Source organism: Homo sapiens, chromosome 6 (genome assembly GCF_000001405.40).
Source record: "Homo sapiens chromosome 6, GRCh38.p14 Primary Assembly".
Lineage (NCBI taxonomy): Eukaryota > Metazoa > Chordata > Mammalia > Primates > Hominidae > Homo > Homo sapiens.
This window is the reverse complement of record NC_000006.12, coordinates 30,387,668-30,407,395: the sequence shown is the minus strand read 5'-3', so window position 1 is coordinate 30,407,395 and position 19,728 is coordinate 30,387,668. Positions and strand designations below refer to the sequence as shown.

Here is a 19,728-nt window from a genome sequence, read left to right as displayed (position 1 = left end):
GTGATGAGAGGGGCTGCCATGAAGACCTATGGCATGCCCTGGAGACATTTTCCCCCTTGTCTTGGGGATCAACACTTGGCTTGTTGTTACTTATGCAAATTTCTGCAGCCAGCTTGAGTTTCTCCTCAAAAAATGGGTTTTTCTTTTCTACTGCATTGTCAGGCTGTAAATTTTCTGAACTTTTATGCTCTGTTTCCCTTTGAAAATGGAATGCTTTTAGGAGCACCCAAGTCACTCTTTGAATGCTTTGCTGCTTAGAAATTTTATCTGCCAGATACCCTACATCATTTTAAGGAAAGGCTAGCATGGGGAAGAAGAAGAGAGACGAGAAGAAAAGAGCTCCCTGCTTCTAGTGAGCAAAGGCCGCCGCCCGAGCTTCTTAGCCCTTCATATTTACTGGGTAATAAGGGCAAGGAGGAGGAGGTAATGATTGGTCAGCTGCTTAATTGATCACAGGTTCATATTGTTACTGGCAGGCTTCAATTGTGGCAAATCATAAGAAACATTCGTGCGGCCTCCAACATCTACTCCTTTTTGTTTTAAAATTAATTGAGCAAGGTAATTGCAGGCTGTGCAGCTCTTAATTGCCGGTTGGTGATCCAGCTTCATTTTTCTTAGCCCTTATTCAAAATAGAGTTGCTGTGGTTTGAATGCTTCTTACATATCTCCCCCTTCCCTTTTTACAAGAGGACGCTTAATCCTAAGGGTTGCAGAAGGATGAAGGTCTGTCTTCTGCAACTTCTTCATGCAGAATAAGGGCGATGATATTCCTGCCTAACTATTAGGGTCTCTTGTATTCAGGGTAGAGAGGAGCTGAGTCAGAAAGCACTGGTCCGTTAAACATCGATTGTACTTCTGAGTTCCAGCAAAAGGTGACACCCTGGCACTCCAGCAGTTTCTCAGCTTCCTGTGTGGTTTTCTTGATCAGTCCCCATGTTATGGGGGTTGATGTCAGCATGACTCTGGTCAGTCGTCGTTCCATCTTCGCATTCAGATTCAACTGGCTCATGGATTGTACTGGGGGAACCAGGTCCAGGGTTGGGATCCATGGGTCCCTCCAGTCTCCCATTCCAAGATGCACCTTGGAAAAAGAGACAAAAATCACTAGCATCTGTGGCCCACGCTTTTTCCTAAAAGGGTTTTGAGGACTTCAGTACTTACAGGGGAAAGAGCAGGCAGAAGGGGAAAAACAGTCAACTATGCATTCATCTTGTGCTCAGTAAATCTGAATTTTACATAAGCTAAAGTAAACATAGAGTAGTAAAATATGTGTTTGTCTCCGGGTGGGTGAAGGGATGATTTCTAGTCTTGTCTTTGTCCTGTACCTGTGAAGATAAGCTGTTACTTTACATTGTCAGGGGAAAAGTCAACAAAACTCTGTTTTAGGGTAAAGATGTTGGGGCCCACAAGGAATTACATTGTGAGCAGATTGTGAGGGAGGCCACTTGGGGAGATATGTGGTCCTCTATCTTTGCAGGTATTTGTTTAGGAACAAAAGAAAGGCAGTTTTTCCATGACTCAGTTCCCAAACTTAACTTTTCCCTTTGGCACTGTGAGTTTGGGGTCCCAAGATTTTATCTTTCTTTCACACTCAGTATTGCAGTTTATTATTGTCATAGCTTAAATCAGCGGTAATCATAGCTTACCTCAACATATTTGGCACCAAGTACTGGTTTCATGGAATAAAACTTTTCCACTGACCAGGGCAGGCGGCACAGGTAGGCGGGGATGGGTTTCGGGATGAAACTGTTCCACCTCAGATGATCAGGCACTGGAGTCTTATAAAGGAGCGTGCAGCCTAAATCCCTCGCATGCACAGTTTACAATAGGGTTCGTGCTCCCATGAGAATCTAATGCCACCACTGATCTGACCAGAGGCGGAGCTCAGGCGGTCATGCTCATGCTTTCTCGCCCACCCTTCACCTCCTGCTGTGCGGTCTGGTTCCCAACAGGCCACAAACCTGTACCGGTCCACTGCAGGGGAGTTAGGGACCCCTGGTTTAAATTATGCCACTATAACAGAACACCTGAGACTGGATAACTTACAATGAACACAAATTTAATTGGCTCATGGTTGTCGAGGATGGGAATTCCAAAATCAAGGGAATGTATCTGGCAGAAGGGAGAAGCGCAAGAGAGGGTGAGAGCTAGAGGGAGTAAGAGGTCGAACTCACAGGCTCAGGTCCTTTATGATCAGCATTAATGAGGGCAGCCTTGATCAGTTCATTAATGAAGGCAGAGCTCTGATGGTCCAATCACCTCTCAAAGGTCCCATCTCTTAACATTGTTGCACTGGGGATTAAGTTTCCAACAGACGCTTTTCTGGGGAAACATTCAAACAATAGCAGTTGTAAAGGATACAAATGAGCAGGCAGATGAAGTGCAGGAGGCGACATCTGGAAGCACTCTGAGCACACGACCCTCTGTCCCCATGGAGACGGGGTGCACCATCATTGTCAAGAGACAATATCATCTCTTGCTTATACCTCTTTTTTTTGGGAGTTCATGTAACATTGGATTTTCCTCATTACACAACCCATTTATTCATTCATTTACCCTCAGCTACTATTCCTCCTTCTACTTCATTTATACCAAACATTAACAGTTTTGGAAGAAACATTAAGTTCTGCTACTGTGCTGGCCTAGACTGAAGGGAGCAATACTGTTCTAGCAAGTGTCTCTCGTTGGTCCATTCCAGTTCATAGAGGGTAGGGTTATGCAGGTAGAGAACTAGTTGGCTATCTGACCCCAGGCAATATAGCTGCATTCAGTGTTAGCCCCAACTTTGCCAGATGCAGTGAAGGCACAACCTACTCCTCCAGGCCCTGAGGAATTCTTGCATAATGGTTTTAAAATATATTTACACTTTCTTGCTTAGGAATAATTCCTGTTTTGGCACTTTTATATGCATCCCTTGTCCTAAGACCACTGAATCAGGTATGAGAAAGGCGAGTTGAGGTGAAGTCTAGTCATCATTCCAGTGTCCTCTTGTCATGGGAAAAATCGTATGTCAGGTCATACTAGCACCTTTCCCTGATCCAGCAGGAAAAAAGAGGATACTCTCTAGTGGGGACACTCCTTTTTCCACACTCATGTCTGGTGTGAGCCCACTCATGAACGTGTGTAAGCCCGCCCTTCATGCTTATGTCTCCCCACTCCTGCTTTATACAAGTAATGTGTCATTTGACTATTTTTATTCTCTATGAAACTATTCCTCTGAGCAAAATATTTTTCTGAACATTGTTGGACATTTTGGGCAAATGTGTTTCCTGGTGTGAAGAAATGTGACTCAGTGATGCAAATGGTTGCAATATCTCCCGTCCAGGTTCTATTATAGTGCTCTAAGCATTTGCATCTGAGATGAAGTACGGATTTATCTTAGAAGCCTGCTAGACCTCCCTAACATGGAAATAAAGGAAAATGTTGAGTTCCTTCAAGAGAAATTCCAGGCACCTAGCCAGCCCTGAAAAGCAAGTGAGTGACCTTATAAGCAAGCAGGTAAAAATAGCTTAAACAATAGCCAAGGAAGTTAGAGTCCCAAGATGTTTGATTCTCTATAGAAACTAAAGAGAACATCTTAACATATGTCCTTGAGTAGTTTTTCAGGAACCCAGACTCTCACCAAACAGAGCCACTGATAGGGAGACCTCAGATAAGGGGAAAATGAGGACTCAATGCTGACTGTGACTCTTTGTTCTAAATTTTTTCCTGAGGGGCCTGGAAAGAGTCAGGTCCACAGAGCAGACCTGAACATTCCTCCCTACTGCCCCTAAGTGTGTAGACAAAGCTTTGGCTCCTTATCCAATCACAAATCAGAGAATCTTTCAATCCACCTATGACCTGTACGATCCCTCATCAGGATATCCCACCTTTTTAGGCCAAACCAGTGTGTAATTTCTATGCATTGATTTTTGATGTTGCCTGCAACTCGGCTTTGCTGAAATTTACTCCTGCCTTAAAAACTCTTGCTTGTAAGCCATTGGGGAGGTTAGGTCTTAAGTGTGAGCTGCCCGATTCTCCTTGCTTGGTGCCTTGCAAATAAACGCCTTCCTTTCTCCCACTACAAAATCTCAGTGTGGATGTTTGCCTTTATTGCACCAGGTGAGTGGGCCCCAGTTCAGTTTGATAACACATCTACCACCAGCTAAGCAATGCTTACTCCAGGGTCAGTATCTATTCCTGCCAAGACCCATTTGCTGCCTCCTAGGGGTACTGGTATCAGTCTAATTTGCCAGCTATCTATTTTCAAGACCTTCCCATGAGAGAATTTGCTACATAGCCATATGCTGTCTCTGTCTCTTCTTAAACAGAACAGTCCTTATGGGTATTTCGTGCCTGTGAGTTGGAGGATGTAAAAGGAATATATCTTGATTCAGCCTATCTCTGCATTGCTGCAGCCCTCAGTGTCTACTTATTTCACGGACCCAGGTGATCACCACAAGCAAACGTGGATTTTTTTGAGATGTGGTATTGATATTTTTCCCTGGACTCAAAAGTTGCTCAGGCAAAACTAAGACTCCTGGGCTCAAGAGATCCTTCTGCCTCAGTTCTTCTTGTAGCTGGAAATACAGGTACACCTGGAAATCACTTAGAAATAAATGCTTGTTGATTTCAATCACCTTCCAAACCTGGAGGAGGGTTATTCTGAGGGGCATTGAACTAATTGAACTATTCTGAGGGAATGGTACTAAACGATTCATGAGAAGCCACCCCCATGATGCAATCACCTCCCTTGAGGCCTCACCTCCAACACTGGGGATTATATCTCAACATGAGATTTGGGTGGGGACAACACCCAATTTATATCAGACATCAACACGCCTTACATTAATGCACCCCTCAAATTACCATAGTGATTTCCACAGGACTGTGTCCTATACGGGTATTCTTTTCATAGGCCAGTTTTCCATTGCTCTCTTAATTATATGGCCAGGCCATCAGTCAATGCCCATAAGTCAGTAAAAACTAAGACATAGGGACTTTTGTCATTGTTCAATTCTTTCATCACTTCTCAGAAAACATCATGCAATTCAACCAAAAAAAAAAAAAAAAACTGTCCTGTTTTTAACTTCTTTGATCAAAGGGGTAGACTTCCAAACAGGATGTTGTCCACTCATCTTGCAAATGCTGTACACAAACCAACCAGCTCTTTGTGGGTCAGTTGACTGATATTGCAGTTCAAATCCCAGGATGTCTGCTGCAGAGTTCCATCTTGTTTAGGGAGGGTCACATTATAAAGGTCAAACTACTTTACTCAAAGCCTAGCAATTATCAGGTTCAAGCGATTCTCCTGCCTTAGTCTCTTGAGTAGCTGGGATTACAGGCACCTGTCATCACGCCCAGCTAATTTTTTTGTATTTTTAGTAGAGATGAGGTTTCACCATGTTGGCCAGGCTGGTCTTGAACTCCTGACCTCAGGTGATCTGCCCATCTCGGCCTCCCAAAGTGCTGGGATTACAGGCATGAGCCACCGCGCCTGGCCACTCTTCATTATATAAAATATAAGACAGTCTGTCCTCCATGTCTGTGTGTTCCACATCTGTGAATTCAACTACCTGAGGATTGGAAATGTTATGTTGCTGCTGTTGTGTACTCTGTAGTTAGGCCTACTGACAGTGGTTACATCTGTACTGAAGATGTACAGACATTTTCTTGTCGTTATTTCCTAAACAATATAGTATAACTACTGTTTACAATCATGTACATTGCACTAGGTATTGTAAGTAATCTAGAGATGATTTAAAGTATATGGGATGATATGCATAGGTAGTAGGCATATAGTAGGCCATTTTATACATGGGACCAGAGAATCCACAGATTTTGGTATCCACAGGGGTCCTAGAACCCAGCCCAAAAGGATACCAAGGGATGACTATATAGGACTGACATTCCTTTTTTAAGTTTTTGAAAGAATTGATGGGAGGAAATGTGGTAAGAAGTTTTTCTGGTGGGAAGGAATTTAATTAAAATTCAATTTCTTAATGGATAGAGGACTATTTATATTTTCTACTTAGTTTTCTGTTGGCTTTGTTCAACTGTGTTTTTCAAGAACTCATTTCATTGCACCTAAATTTTAAAAGGTATTGTCATGAAGTTGTGTCTAATATTCTCTTATTTTCATTTTAATAAAATCTGTGGTTTTATAAGTTGTCCCTTCTCACAGTGTTCATTCGTGTTTTCTCTCTTTGTATGATTGATCTTTCTGGGGATTATGAAATAGTTTGCCCATGATTTCCTCTATTATCCTTAACATATTAATCATAAATATATTGAAGAATGTCCTTGCTCGCTGGCTTCAGTATCCAGATCATCTGAGTCGGCTTCTGTTGATTATTTTATCTCCACTTGTTGCATTTTTTCTGCTGCTTGGCATGCCACATATTCTGGGTGATGTGTTACAGAGGTTCTGGATTTTGCTATCTTCCTGCTAAGACTGCTAACTGCTTGACGGTTCATTAATTATCATAAAAATCAGACCCACTTTGATTCTGCTTAGGCTTGATTTTAGCCTTTGTTAACATGAGTCTAGTTCAGTGCGGTCCTTACTCCAAGGCAAGGGTCCTCACTCATAGTGCTTCACCACCCTGTTGGCTCAACCCAGGTTTGGCTGGGCTAAAATTCCAACATCTCCTCATACTCTGAAGCCTTTGGCATTTCTACTTAGCATGCAATCTCCAAGCAACTGTTCTCTGGTGGGCTTCTTAGAGTATCACCTAAAGCATATGCAGCTTAGGAGTGCAGATTTTGGGGGTTTCTTCTCTGTAGTGACATTGTAGGTGACACTGTACATCATAGTACAATGCATTAATGATATGTTTGTGGTGATGCTGGTGTAAACAAACCTACTGCACTGTCAATCCTATAAAAGTCTAGCACATACAGTTATGTACAATACATAATCCTTGATAATGATAATAAATGACTATGTTACTGGTTTACATATTTACTATACTTTTTATTGTTATTTTAGAGTGTGCTCCTTCTAATTATTAAAAAAACTTGAAACAGCCTCGGCCAGGTCCTTTAGGAGGTATTCCAGAAGAAGGCATTGTTATCATAGGAGATGGCAGCTCCATGCATGTTATTACACCTGAAAATCTTCCAGTGGGACAAGATGTAAAGGCTAAAGATAGTGATATTGTTGATCCTAACCCTGTGTCAGCCTAGGCTAATTTATGTCTTTTTTTTTTAACAGAAAAGATTTAAAAGTAAAAAAAAAATTAAATAGAAATAAGTTTCTAGAATGAAAATATAAGGAACAATATTTTTGTACAGCTTTGTAACATGTTGGTCTTTTAAGCTAAGTGCTATTACAAAAGCTGAAAAGTTTTAAAAATTAAAGTTTATAAAGTTAAAAAAGTTACATTAAGCTAAGGTTAATTTATTATTAAAGAAAGAAAATTATTTTTAAAATCAATTTAGTGTAACCTAAGTGTACAGCATTTATAAAATCTACAGTAGTGCACAGTAATGGCCTAGGCCTTCAGTTCACTCACCACTCACTTGCTGACTCACCCAGAGCAACTTCCAGTCCTGTAAGCTCCATTCATGATGAGTAACCTATATAGGTGTGCCATTGTAAAAATCTTTTTACCATATTTTTACTGTACTTTTTCTGTTTACATATGTTTAGATCCACAAATACCTACCATTGTGTTACAATTGCCTACAGTACTCAGTATAGTAATGTGCTATCCAAGTTTGTAGCCTAGGAGCAATAGGCTTTATGATATAGCGTAGGTGTGCAGTAGGCTATATCATCTAGCTTTGTGTATGGACACTTTATGATGTTCACGTAAGACCAAATCACCTAAGGACACATTTCTCAGAACCTATCTTATCATTAAGAAAGAATGACTATATATGTAATGTAAGTCCTTTGAAGTTTAAGCATTTTCACTTTCATATATTTGTCTCATTTAAGAAATATTTTCCATTCCAGCAGGTACAGCTAAAAAAAAAGAAAAAAGAAAAAAAGAAAAATTTTCTTGCTCAAATGTTTTAAGGTTATCCTCCTAATAACATTGGTAGTAGTTTTATTTTTTCATATTTGTCTTTACCGCTTATATAATTTTTTGTTTATCTCAAGGTGTAGAGATATAATTTAATCATAGGGTGTTTAGTAAAATATCAATGCTGGGAAAGGGCTTAGGAGATAACGATGAATCAAAACACAGCACAAAGGCCAGGTACTGTGGCTCACTCCTGTAATCCCAGCACTTTGGGAGGCCAAGGAGGGTGAACCACTTGAGCCCAGAGGTTCTAGACCAGCCTGGGAAACATACTGAGACCTCGTCTCTACAAACACATGTCAATCAATGCAGCATAATAGAGAATCTGGAAATAAATCCATATATTTACAGCCAACTGATTCTTGACAAAGGTGCCAAGAACATACATTTGGGGAAAGGACACCCTCTTCAATAAATGGTGCTGGGGAAATTGGATATCCACATGCAGAAGAATGGAATTAGATCCCTATATCTCACCCTATATAAATATCAACTCAAGATGGATTAAATACTTAGACGTAAGACCCAAAACTATAAAACAACTGGAAGCAAACATATGAGAAACATTCTAGGACATTGGTCTGGGTAACGATTTTATGGCTAAGACTTCAGAAGCACAGACAACCCAAACAAAATAGACAAATGGGACTATAATAAACTAAAACGCTTCTGCGCAGCAAAGAAAACCATCAAAAGAGTAGACAGACAACCTGTTGAATGGGAGAAAATATTTTCAAACAATTTATCTGACAAGGGACTAATATCCAGAATATGTAAGGAACTCAAGAGCTAAAAAAACCAAAAAATTCTATTAAAAAGTGGACAAACGACATGAATAGACATTTCTCAAAAGAAGACATACAAATGGCCAGCAGGTACATGAAAAATGCTCAACATCACTTATCATCAGGGAAATGCAAATCAAAACCACAATGAGATATCATCTTACCCCCAGATAGAATGGGTACAACTAAAAAGACAAAAAAAAACAAACAAACAAATAGATGTTTGTGAGGATGTGGAGAAAAGGGCACTCTTACACACAGTGTGTAAAACTAGTACAGCAACTGTAAAAAACAGTATACAGAGTTTTCAAAACACTGAAAATAGAATCACTGTATTATCAAGCAATTTTGGGGTGGGGCTGCAGGGTCCTGGAGTTCAGGTTGGCAGAGAGCAGGGCCTGGAGGTGCTTGGGAGGCCGGAGGAGAAGGAAAGAGGCAGATGCCTGGGTCCCAGGGTATCGAAGTGGGGAGGGTCTGGGGCAAGAGGTAAATGGGCGAATTCTTGAGATCCATTGAGAATCCATGGTCAGCCCTTGAGATCCAAAGAAAGGGGTCAGAAGCTTGGGCCAGGCTCACCGCTGAGCTCTTTGTAACCCCTTTGTAACCCATGACCACCTTCAGACTCCCAGCTAAGTGAGTCTTTGACCCTCCAAGAACAACATCTCCTTGGCTGCCAGCAGAGGGACCTGCTCTCTGCCCATGACCCCAGGGCCCCTGGGCCTGGCATGGCAGCTCCTGCTGTCAAAGGCAAAGAAGAGGCAGCCGTCCAGCTAGCCCAGTGCTATGACTGCAGGCTTCCTGGGGGTGGACTCTGATAGGGCCTTAAGATCCTAGCTCAGAAAGCGGGACCCTGAAATTCCCAGGGCTGGGCCCCTTAGCACCTGTATAGCAGCTCTCTTCTCCTCAGAACCCTAGAAACTCTCTCCCACTCTACACACACCTGCACGCACACACATCAACACAAACACACACATTCCTAACAGGATGTTTTCCATTTTTCTCTCCTCCCTGGCTCCTTTCACTCTCTTTCTCCCCCCTTGCCCCCTTCTCTTATGGTCCATTTCTTCTCTCTTCTGCTCTCTGGAGGTTCCCTTCTTCCTGGACCGAGGCACTAGGAGCTGCTGTCCCTGGACCCCAGGGTTGGAGGCTAACAGGCTGATTCCTGGGATGAGCAGCCTCTAGCAGCAGGAACAAAGGAGGGGACGGGAGGCCAAGGCCCCATCTGGAGGCTGAGGGACTGGGTCCTGTGGCAGCAAGGATTTGGGGGTGTGTCATCCCCACATCTGATCCCACTGTTTTGCCCTGGAGGCCTCTCTCTGCTCTGAGGCAAAAGTCCAGTCACTCAGTGGTGAGAGGAAATGTCATTGTCAACATGGATTTTGGGAAGCTGAATGGACTCAGAGCCTGACTTGAGACCCGGAGGCTCCTTGAGTGCAGAGCCCTGTCCAGGTGCTGGGAGCAGAGGGAGAGCCTCGGAGGTCCTGGTTGGTGAGAAAGGGGAGCGGGGTCCGGTCCTCTGTCCTCGTCCCTGTGGCCACACGGGGGCGCCGCCGCGCTGCTCTCGCATTCTGATTGAGCGCTCTCAGGCACTGGGTGAGGGCTGAGTGGGGCAGAAGGGGCGGAGCCTGAGGTCATCCACGCGGGAATGCAGGTTCCTCCTAAGCAGCCCTGGAATCCACAGACTCAGGCTAGATTTGCTTGTCTTGCAACGTGAGGCAATTGTGGAGCAGCAAGATCTGGCTCTAGAATTCTCACCGCGAATGCGGTTCTTATAGAATCCAACCTGAATGAGAGGCCAGGGCCTGAGCTGACTGCCCTGGGCACACCTGGCTTTGATGGGGTTGCCAAAATATAACTGGCACTTACAGAAATTTCAATGATTGTCGAAAAGTCCATATAATTATATACAATTTCATTTCTGATGTCTCTGGCTGTGCCTTTGAAAGGGCATAAAGAGCCATGGAAAGAGGCTGAAAGGCTCCTCTGGGAATTTTCAAATCCCTTTTCATAGCAGCAACTTGGTCTAGCCCAGTGCTATGACTGCAGGCTTCCTGGGGCTGGACTCTGATAGGGTCTTAAGGTCCTAACTAAGAAAATGGGACCCTGGAACTCTCAGGGCTGGGCCCTGAAGAAACACAGGGAGAAGGATCTGGAGGCGCAACCCTCCCTTCTGATCAGCACGGGCAGGGCTGTCTGAGCGCGTTTCCCCTCTGTGTTCAGCAGGATCGACTTTGCAGTGAGGCGCAGCCCCTGTCTCCCTGGGGGCCTCAGGTCCACACATCCTTCCACTGCCGCATGTCAGAAGCATCTGTTTCCTTTATTTTGTTTTCCACAGACTTCTTTCTTTTTTCTGTCCTTGACCACTAATACAACACAGGCAAGATCCTATAAGACCAGGTAAAAGATGTTACTGATAATAGTGAAGGCATGGTTGTGAAGGGACAATGGCAGATACAGACAGAGCCAGAGACAAAACAGAAAGGCAGAACAGAGATAGAAACACACACAGAAAATGAACATCCATCCGTCCATCCAACCATCCATCCATCCATGCATTCATCCATGCATGCATCTGTCTGCTCTCTACCTTTCTATCTCCTTACAAGGGAGGTACATCAACACTTTTACATTCATTTCCCAACAAAAATCACAAGATTTTCCTTGTCGGCTCACACCTGCCCTCCTTCATCCAGCCAACTGATGTGTTTGCTGAGGTCTTGCCACATGCCACACTGGGTGCTGAGCTTTGGGGTCTGAACAGTAACAGACCTCTGTGATGCACTCACACGGGGCCCTTTACTGTCCTGTCCTTGGCTATGAGACATCCTCATGTCCCTGAAGCTCTTCTTTCTGCTTCTTGGATAAAGTCCCTGACCACCTCCCTACTGGCACCCAGGAGACTCTGACATCCTGGAACACCAGTATCTTTCATCAAACACTGACTTACAGCATTTATCCTGTGTCTGTCACTCACTACATACCCTTTTGATGATTTTCTCATTTAGAGATTGTTAAAAAAGGATGTGATTGTAACCTCAGACAAGTGTAATAGAATAGTAAAATAAGGAACTCTGTGAAAAGGGCTTTTTCTGCTTTCTCCCAGAACATCTCATTTGCATCTGTGTTTGGCTGGATGAAAAGTGGCTTCCATATCCCCTGACATAATGCAACAAGCAGAAACACTTGCTCAGTAAACAAGTACTTCGGAAAATGCAGGGTCTTGAACACTGCCCTCAGGGCTCCACACATCAGAAGGACATATATATCTTTCCTTCAACCCCAGAGATGCCCAGGGGCTGCATGTTGGCTCCTCACTGGTCTTACTCATGTCCTACTGGAAGAGGACGGTGCTTCTCTGGAAATGTCAGAGTGGTGTGGGACAGCCAGTTCCTCTGTGTGCCCTGCAGGAAAACAGACAATTCAGCTTTTCAATCCCACTCAGTATCTGAAAATAAACTGGGTTTTCAATGTATTCCCCTCCAGAGAGTAAATTGCGGAGGAAACATGTTCAAACGCACACTTAATTATTTTCCGAGTCAAGAATGTAAGTATGAGGCCCTTTAAGACGAGTTAAGAGAAGTTCCTGACCTCAAATTTCATGTGGAAGTTATAAGATGGAGCTGGAAGCATCTGTCCTTACCTCTGGGTATAAAGTTGGGACCCCGCGGGAGGCAGTCAGCCACAGTTAGGGCACCAAGCAAACCCTCAGGAAGGACTCGGTCCACGCAGGAGCCTCCCTAAGCAGCTTCTCCCTGAAGAAAACCTGAAGTCTTAGAAATCCAAGAAGAACAAAGATATTCATGTCTCTGATAAGGAAAATGAAATGCCAGCAATCCAGCACTGAGAAGGGAAGCTACGAGACCACATTTTCTGCACGTGGAGAAGACATGTTTAATGGAGAGGTGGGAACTTGTCTCAAAAGTGTTGCGCTGCCGTGAGAACGTGTGGTCATCACTGCCACCACCCGCTGCTCGCTCAGTGGCCTCTGCCCATTGTAACTAATGGGCCAATGAATAGAAACACTTTTCACCTTCCTCTCCTGCAATAAGGCTATTAAAATAAATCATCTCCTCTGGTTGATTTTTCACTTAGGGAAAAAATAACTGGGGTAATGCATGCCCGTAGACCAGGTTTTAAAGAAGTTCTCAGAAAACCCTGAGACAGTCTCCAGAAGGCTCATCCAGCAGAAACGAGGCCTTGCACTTCTGCCATCCCGTGTGTCACCATGATGGAGTTTGCCCAGCTAGGGATGGCAAGAGGCCAAGTCATCACAGGTGATCTGCAGGCCTGGTGAGGAAGGACAATGACAGACGGGAAGGAGGAAATGCACACACACGACCAGACCTCCTGCCATTCCTTTGTCCATTGGTCTTGCTCTGTCTTTCACTCTCTGAAATTTTGTTGTCATGAGTCTTGGTGTGGGTCTGTTTCCATCTCCTGTATTGAGAACTTTGTTGCAGCCATTCACACTATACATTTTTGTCAGTAGCCTTCAAAACATTTTCTTGAATTACTTTTAATTACTTTCTATGGTTATTGGAACTTATATTATGAGACTGCTGGAATTCCTTAATTGATAGTATAATATTCTTAAAGTTCTATCATGCTTGGCATCACGTTTTTATTTTGTACTACCTTGCAGCACACAACTTTCATTTCAGTTCATTTTTTAAACTCTTTATTTCAATGATCATATTTTAAAATTCCAGAGCTCTTTCTAGTTCTCTGCATGAAATTGTTTATAAATTTGTTCAAATCTCATAACTGCTGTTTTCTTACATCTTTCACACATAATTGGTAATAGTGGTAGGGACCCATTAGGTCTCCTTGTAACCTGCTTTCATGATATCACAAACTTTTCCCTTACGCTCATTAGCAATTTCACAATCTTGGGGCAATTTTTGCTAAATATTTATCTTCCTTACAATATTGAAAACTCCCCATCTCCAAGATTTTACTCTTGCTCTTCATTATATCCTCAAGTGCTTAGCAGATCTCCTGATCACTGGAAATACACCCTGGATGAACGGACTTCTGCGTGAATTTGGCAGTTAAGTCATTGCCCTTCTTGTCTTCCTGAGCTCTGAGCCAGTGGCCTCCTGTCCATAGAACATTCTGGGACATCAAAACAGTTCACTTGTGTAAGGTGCAGATGAAGAGAGAATCAATGGAAGACAAGTCAACAAGGCCTCTGAGAGAAAATCTCCAGGGTTCAACCCTAGCCCCACCACCTTCTTTACCTCTCTCCTTCCCTGTCTGTACAAAGGATCACATATTGAGTTCCCCATGGGTTTGCATTGAGGATTAAATCTGACTCTCTATGTAAAGCCATGGCATTATTTTCTGAGTCATACTAAATGCTCCATTATTGATAACTATCATCACTATATTCATTACAATCTTTGGGTTATTTCCATTATTTTGCTTTTATAAACCACAATTCAAGGAACATTCTTATATATGTGGTTTTTTTGTTTTTGTTTTGGGACAGAGTCTCGACCTGTCACCCAGGCTGAAGTGCAGTGACATGATCGCAGCTCACTGCAACCTCCACCTCCCGGGTTCAAGCAATTCTTCTGCCTCAGCCTCCCGAGTAGCCGGAACCACAGGTGTCTGCCACCACGCTCGGCTAATTTTTGTAGTTTTTAGTAGAGACGGGGTTTCACCATGTTGGCCAGGCTGATCTTGAACTCCTGACCTCGTAATCCACCTGCCTCGGCCTCCCAAAGTGCTGGGATTACAGGCATGAGCCACCGCGCCCGGCCTATATATGCGTTTTTAGAAAGATATGTAATTATTTCCTTGGGATAAATTCCTAAAAGAGAAATTTTCATGTCAAAATGTCAGAACACTTAGGCCCGGCGCAGTCCCTCACCCCTGTAATCCCAGCACTTTGGGAGACCAAGGCGGGTGGATCACTTGAGGTCAAGGATTTGAGATGAGCCTGGCCATCATGGTGAAACCCCATTTCTACTAAAATTACAAAAATTAGCTGGGCGTGGTGGCACGCACCTGTAGTCCCAGCTACGCGGGAGGCTGAGGCAGGAGAATCGCTTGAACCCAGGAGGTGGAGGCTTCAATAAGTCAAGATTGTGCCACTGCACTCCAGCCTGGGCGACAGAGCAAGACTCTGTCTCAAAAACGTCAGAACATTTAAATTATTGAGACATTTTGCAAAAGTGCCCTTTAGAAGTTTTGTACCACTTTTCAATGCCATCAGTCTTCGTAACAGTACATTTTCCCTGTACTCTGATCAATACTACCATCATTTACTTCTGTCTTTGCCAAGCTGATGGATTTTAATTCTGGTTCCCATTTTGTAGTCTACATTCTTATTTTTTGCACATATTTATTACTAATATAACTATATGACATTTCTTAATCATTTCTCAAACGTAATGCTGATATTTTTAAATATTGAATTTAATCAAGAAAAAGCAGCCCCTAATATCTGGGAACTTGTCTGGCACAGCTGGGCATCAGTGTTGCCAGGAGCTGGTCTGGTCTTCACTACTGGGCCATATTAGTCCCTCTGGGACATAAATTATATCACAAAATACCAACACCACACTGGATCACTCTCAGCCCATGAGAAAGTGAGGCGAAACAAAAGTACTTCATAATTTTGTCTAAACCCTCTCCCGGCTAGTATGAGTGGCTGATGCTTCTCTACGGATTAAGCTTTATCTGCACTCTAGTCCACCCTCCCTAAAGGTAAGATTTATTGAAATACCGAATTGTAGAATTGCCTCTGCTTACTGACAGTACTAAATCTAGAGCAATAAAATAAAATAGAATTTCTCAACTGTGTTATCTGTATTTTCTTTTTTTCCTTATTCTCATGCTCTGGCATCTGAGTCCTCACTGATTGTGAGGACTCCCCTCCCAAGACTAGTCTATTCCTACAGATACTAAAGGGATTGACCGCAAATGCGCCTTTCTTATGCAAACTAACCAAACCAGAGCCCAAACTCAGAATGAGTTCTTTTTTTCTGGCTGTCACATGGCCCCGATACTCCCAGTCAATATTCTCCTGTCTTAATAATCTGAGAGACAGGTATCAGACAACTAGAGACAATCCCTATGCCTCAGAGTCACCAAGATTATTCAGACTCATCAATACTGAACATGTCTACACTGCTTACCCTGCCTTGCTCATTCATTCCCCTAAAAACCACATTAGAGGCTCTCGCCCATGCTTTCCCCTCCCGTTGCCACTTGACCAGCCTTGGTGCTGCCTGTTGTGCTGTGCTTCCTATGTCAGTGGGTAATAAACTCTTTTTTCAGTGGCATAGACCTCTCTGTGTCATCATTCAGTCATAACTACTAATTAATTAAATCCCAGGGAAACTTGAAATACCAGCTGAAGCCCAAATATTATAATAGGCTCTATCTAAAAGGCACTTACCAAGATACTCGGTAGTTATCCAAGGTGTGCATTCTCCCTCCCACTGCAGTGAGTAATAAACCCAACTTCTTCACCCACAGATGTGCTCCAGGTGGCCTTGGGCTGAAGGGTATTAACACATTGTTACTATTTTGTCCATCAACTGTTTACATGTCTTTGAGGTTGATTATGGGAAAGTGTTTGTACATTTCTGTGTTTGTGGATGCCAAAGAGATTTTTTTTAATTTGTAAGTAGTCAAAATGATTATCATCATTCTTCATCACTTTTCACATTTTGGTCATGCTTAGAACATCTGCACTCCAGAGTTGTGAAAACTTCATACATATTTGACCTAGGAAGAGACGATGAGGAAAGGGGTCCGAGAGTTGAAGGACATAGAATTGTTTCAAGTTGTGGAAAAGTAAAGATTACTAATGCGATGGGATTGTAAGGTTTAATTATTTTATAATTTTTGAAATGTGTCTACTGGGTCTGTAGGGTACTTAATATATGTGGTATCCAATAAATACAACTTAGGATGAGTACTCAAGACTTATTTGCCTTCTTACATTCACCAAAGTAAAGAAAATATTATGCCAGATTTCCAGTGAAATATAGACATGGATTGGCAACAGTGATGTGCATTTATGAAGACTTGATACTATGAACTGATAATTCATATTTTGGTTGATGTCTATACACTGTAGTTGTTCAAATACACATTAATTAAACTTTCTTGGGCATGCTATATTTCAATGATATGTCTGAGACCCATATAGACAAATTCATGGCTTCCATATGAAGACAACTTTGATATATTCAATCTATGAGTGACATGGTATACTTTTAGGGAGATTAAAAACTAAGATACTCTGGTATGCACTATCAAATTTCATTGGAGATGTGGTTACTTGAGCTGTGGTGGCTACACTTGCGATGAAGCGGAAGAAGAGCTCTGGTATGTAAGGACTGGGATCTGCATTGTCATGTTCCATTCTGCATTGATAATAAAATGTACCCCACATACCCCGCCCCCCACCACACACACAGACACACACACACAAAACACAAACACTCATGCTTACCCAGTCATAGTCCCTGCTTGCTGAAATTTCTGTAACGTAAAGCACTTGTGAAAATAAAGGACCAGTCATCACCTTGATGATTCTAGAGATGGGGACCCGATTCCCAGAAGTCATAGGTCAGAAGGGAAAGACTGCTGAGGACAGACCTCCAGTCACCCAAGAGGGAAGGTGGTCCAGCCCCTGCACGTCTCCTGTCCTTGTTTTCCTGATCCTGCCCTGGGTATGGTTATAGAGTCGAATAGATAAATTGAACTTCATCAAACCAAAACTTTTATGCATCAGAGAACACTATCAATACAGTGAAAAGGCAATCCATACAATGGCAGAAAATATTTGCCTATTACATATCTCATATGGGTCAAGTGTTTGGATACACAAAGAACCCTTTAAACATCAATAACAAAATGACAAATAATCCCATTACAAAATGGGCAAAGAAATTGAAAAGTCATTTCTTCAAAGAAGATACATAAACCGCCAATATACACAGGAAAAGATACTCAACATCATTAGCCATTAAAGAAATGCAAATTAAACCACAATAATATGGCTATAATAATAATTTTTTTAAAATGAAAATAAATGTTAGGAAAGATAAGCAGAAATTAGAACCCTCATACCACTATATTTTATGGAAATATAAAATGGCCAGCTGAGGTTCTTATTTGGTGGAAGCATTTCTTTCCTGGGAAATCCACTAAGCCCAAGGTTGCAGAGATGTGAAGCAGAAATTTTAAAAGTAATTAATAGGTGTAATTGTACAAGAATATTTATTAACATAATAAATTATCTCAGCTTTTTTAGTCAAAATAACTCCTATAACTTTGTTCATCTTTTTAGAAATTACTTAAATTGTACTGACTATGATAACATGCCTGTAGTCTCAGCTACTCAAGAGACTGAGATGGGAGGACACCTTGAGCCCAGGAGTTCAAGACTAACCCGGACAACATAGCAAAACTTGTCCTGAAAAAAAATGAAAAATTAGCTGCACATGGTAGTGCATGACTGTAGTCTCAGCTACCTGGGGGCTGAGGTGGATGGATCCCTTGAGCCCAGAAGTTAGAAGCCAACATGGGGTAATATAGAAAGACTCTTTCTCTAAAATTTTTAAAAAATAAATTGCATGAGTTATTCTAGACCTTTTATGTTTTCATATAAATTTGTAAATCAGCTCATAAATTTCTATCAAAAAGCCTCCTAGAATTTTGTTAGTTTTTTTTTAAATCTCTGGGTTAATTTGGGGAGTGTTGCATTTTAACAATGTTAAATCTTGCTCCCCATGAACAGGGGATCTATTTATTTAGGTCTTCTATGTACTCTTTCCACAGTGTCTCTTGATTTCTAGTGTCTTGGATTTCAGAGATCTTAAATATTTTTTGTATGATTTATTTATTTTCTTTGTTGTTGTTGTTTTTGTTGTTGTTTGCCCTATGAAGTTTTATTTTATTTCAATAGTTTTTTGGGGTACAGGTGGGTTTTGGTTTAATGGATGAGTTCTTTAGTGGTGAATTCTGAGACTTTAGTGCACCTGTCACCCAAGCAATATACACTGTACCCAATATGTAGTCTTTTATCTCACTCCCCTCTCAGCCTGTCCCTTGAGTCCCCAAAGTCCATTATATCGCTCTATATGTCTTTGCATCCTCCTAGCTTAGCTCCCACTTATAAGTGAGAACATACAGTATTTGGTTTTCCATTCCTGAGTTACCTCACTTAGAATAATGGCCTCCATCTCCATCTAGGTTGTTGCAAAACACATTATTTTGTTCCTTGTTATGGCTAAGTAATACTCCATGGTGTACATATACCACATTTTCTTTGTCCACTTGTTGGTCGATGGACACTTACTTTGTTTTCATGTCATTGCAATCGTGAAGTGTGCTGCTGTAAACATGCACGTGCATGTGTCGTTTTCATATAATGACTTCCTTTGGGTAGATATCCAGCAGTGGGATTGCTGGATTGAATGGTAGATCTACTTGCAGTTCTTTAAATAATGTCCATACTGCTTTCCAAAGTGGTTTTACTAATCTACATTCCCACCAGCAGTGCAAAAGTGTTCCCTTTTCACCACATCCACACAAACATCTACTGTGGTTTTTAAAAATTTTTTAATTATGGCAATTTTTGCAGGAGTAAGGTGGTATCTTGTACTTATAATTTGCATTTCCCTGATGATTAGTTATCTTGAGCAATTTTTCATGATTGTTGGCTATTTGTATATCTTCTTTTGAGAACTGTCAATTCATGTCCTTTGCCCAGTTTTTGATGGGATTATTTGTTTTTTTCTTGCTGATTTCTTTGCGTTCCTTGTAGATTCTGGATATTAGTCCTTTGTTGGATGTATAGTCTGTGAATATTTTCCCCTACTGTGTGGGTTGTCTGTTTACTCTGCTGATTATTTCTTTTGCTGTGTAGAAGCTTTATCATTCAACCAGGTCTCATTTATTTATTT

At 41.9% G+C, this 19,728-nt stretch overlaps 1 annotated feature.

The window, feature by feature from the left end:
- Nucleotides 11,349-11,545: a silencer, noted in NCBI's record as "fragment chr6:30363628-30363824 (GRCh37/hg19 assembly coordinates)". NCBI's record gives its function as "represses an EF-1alpha promoter that drives an FKBP-Casp9 reporter gene in an ReSE screen in phorbol 12-myristate 13-acetate-treated (for megakaryocytic differentiation) K562 erythroleukemia cells {active_cell/tissue: K562(+PMA)}" and the evidence as "EXISTENCE:reporter gene assay evidence [ECO:0000049][PMID:32094911]".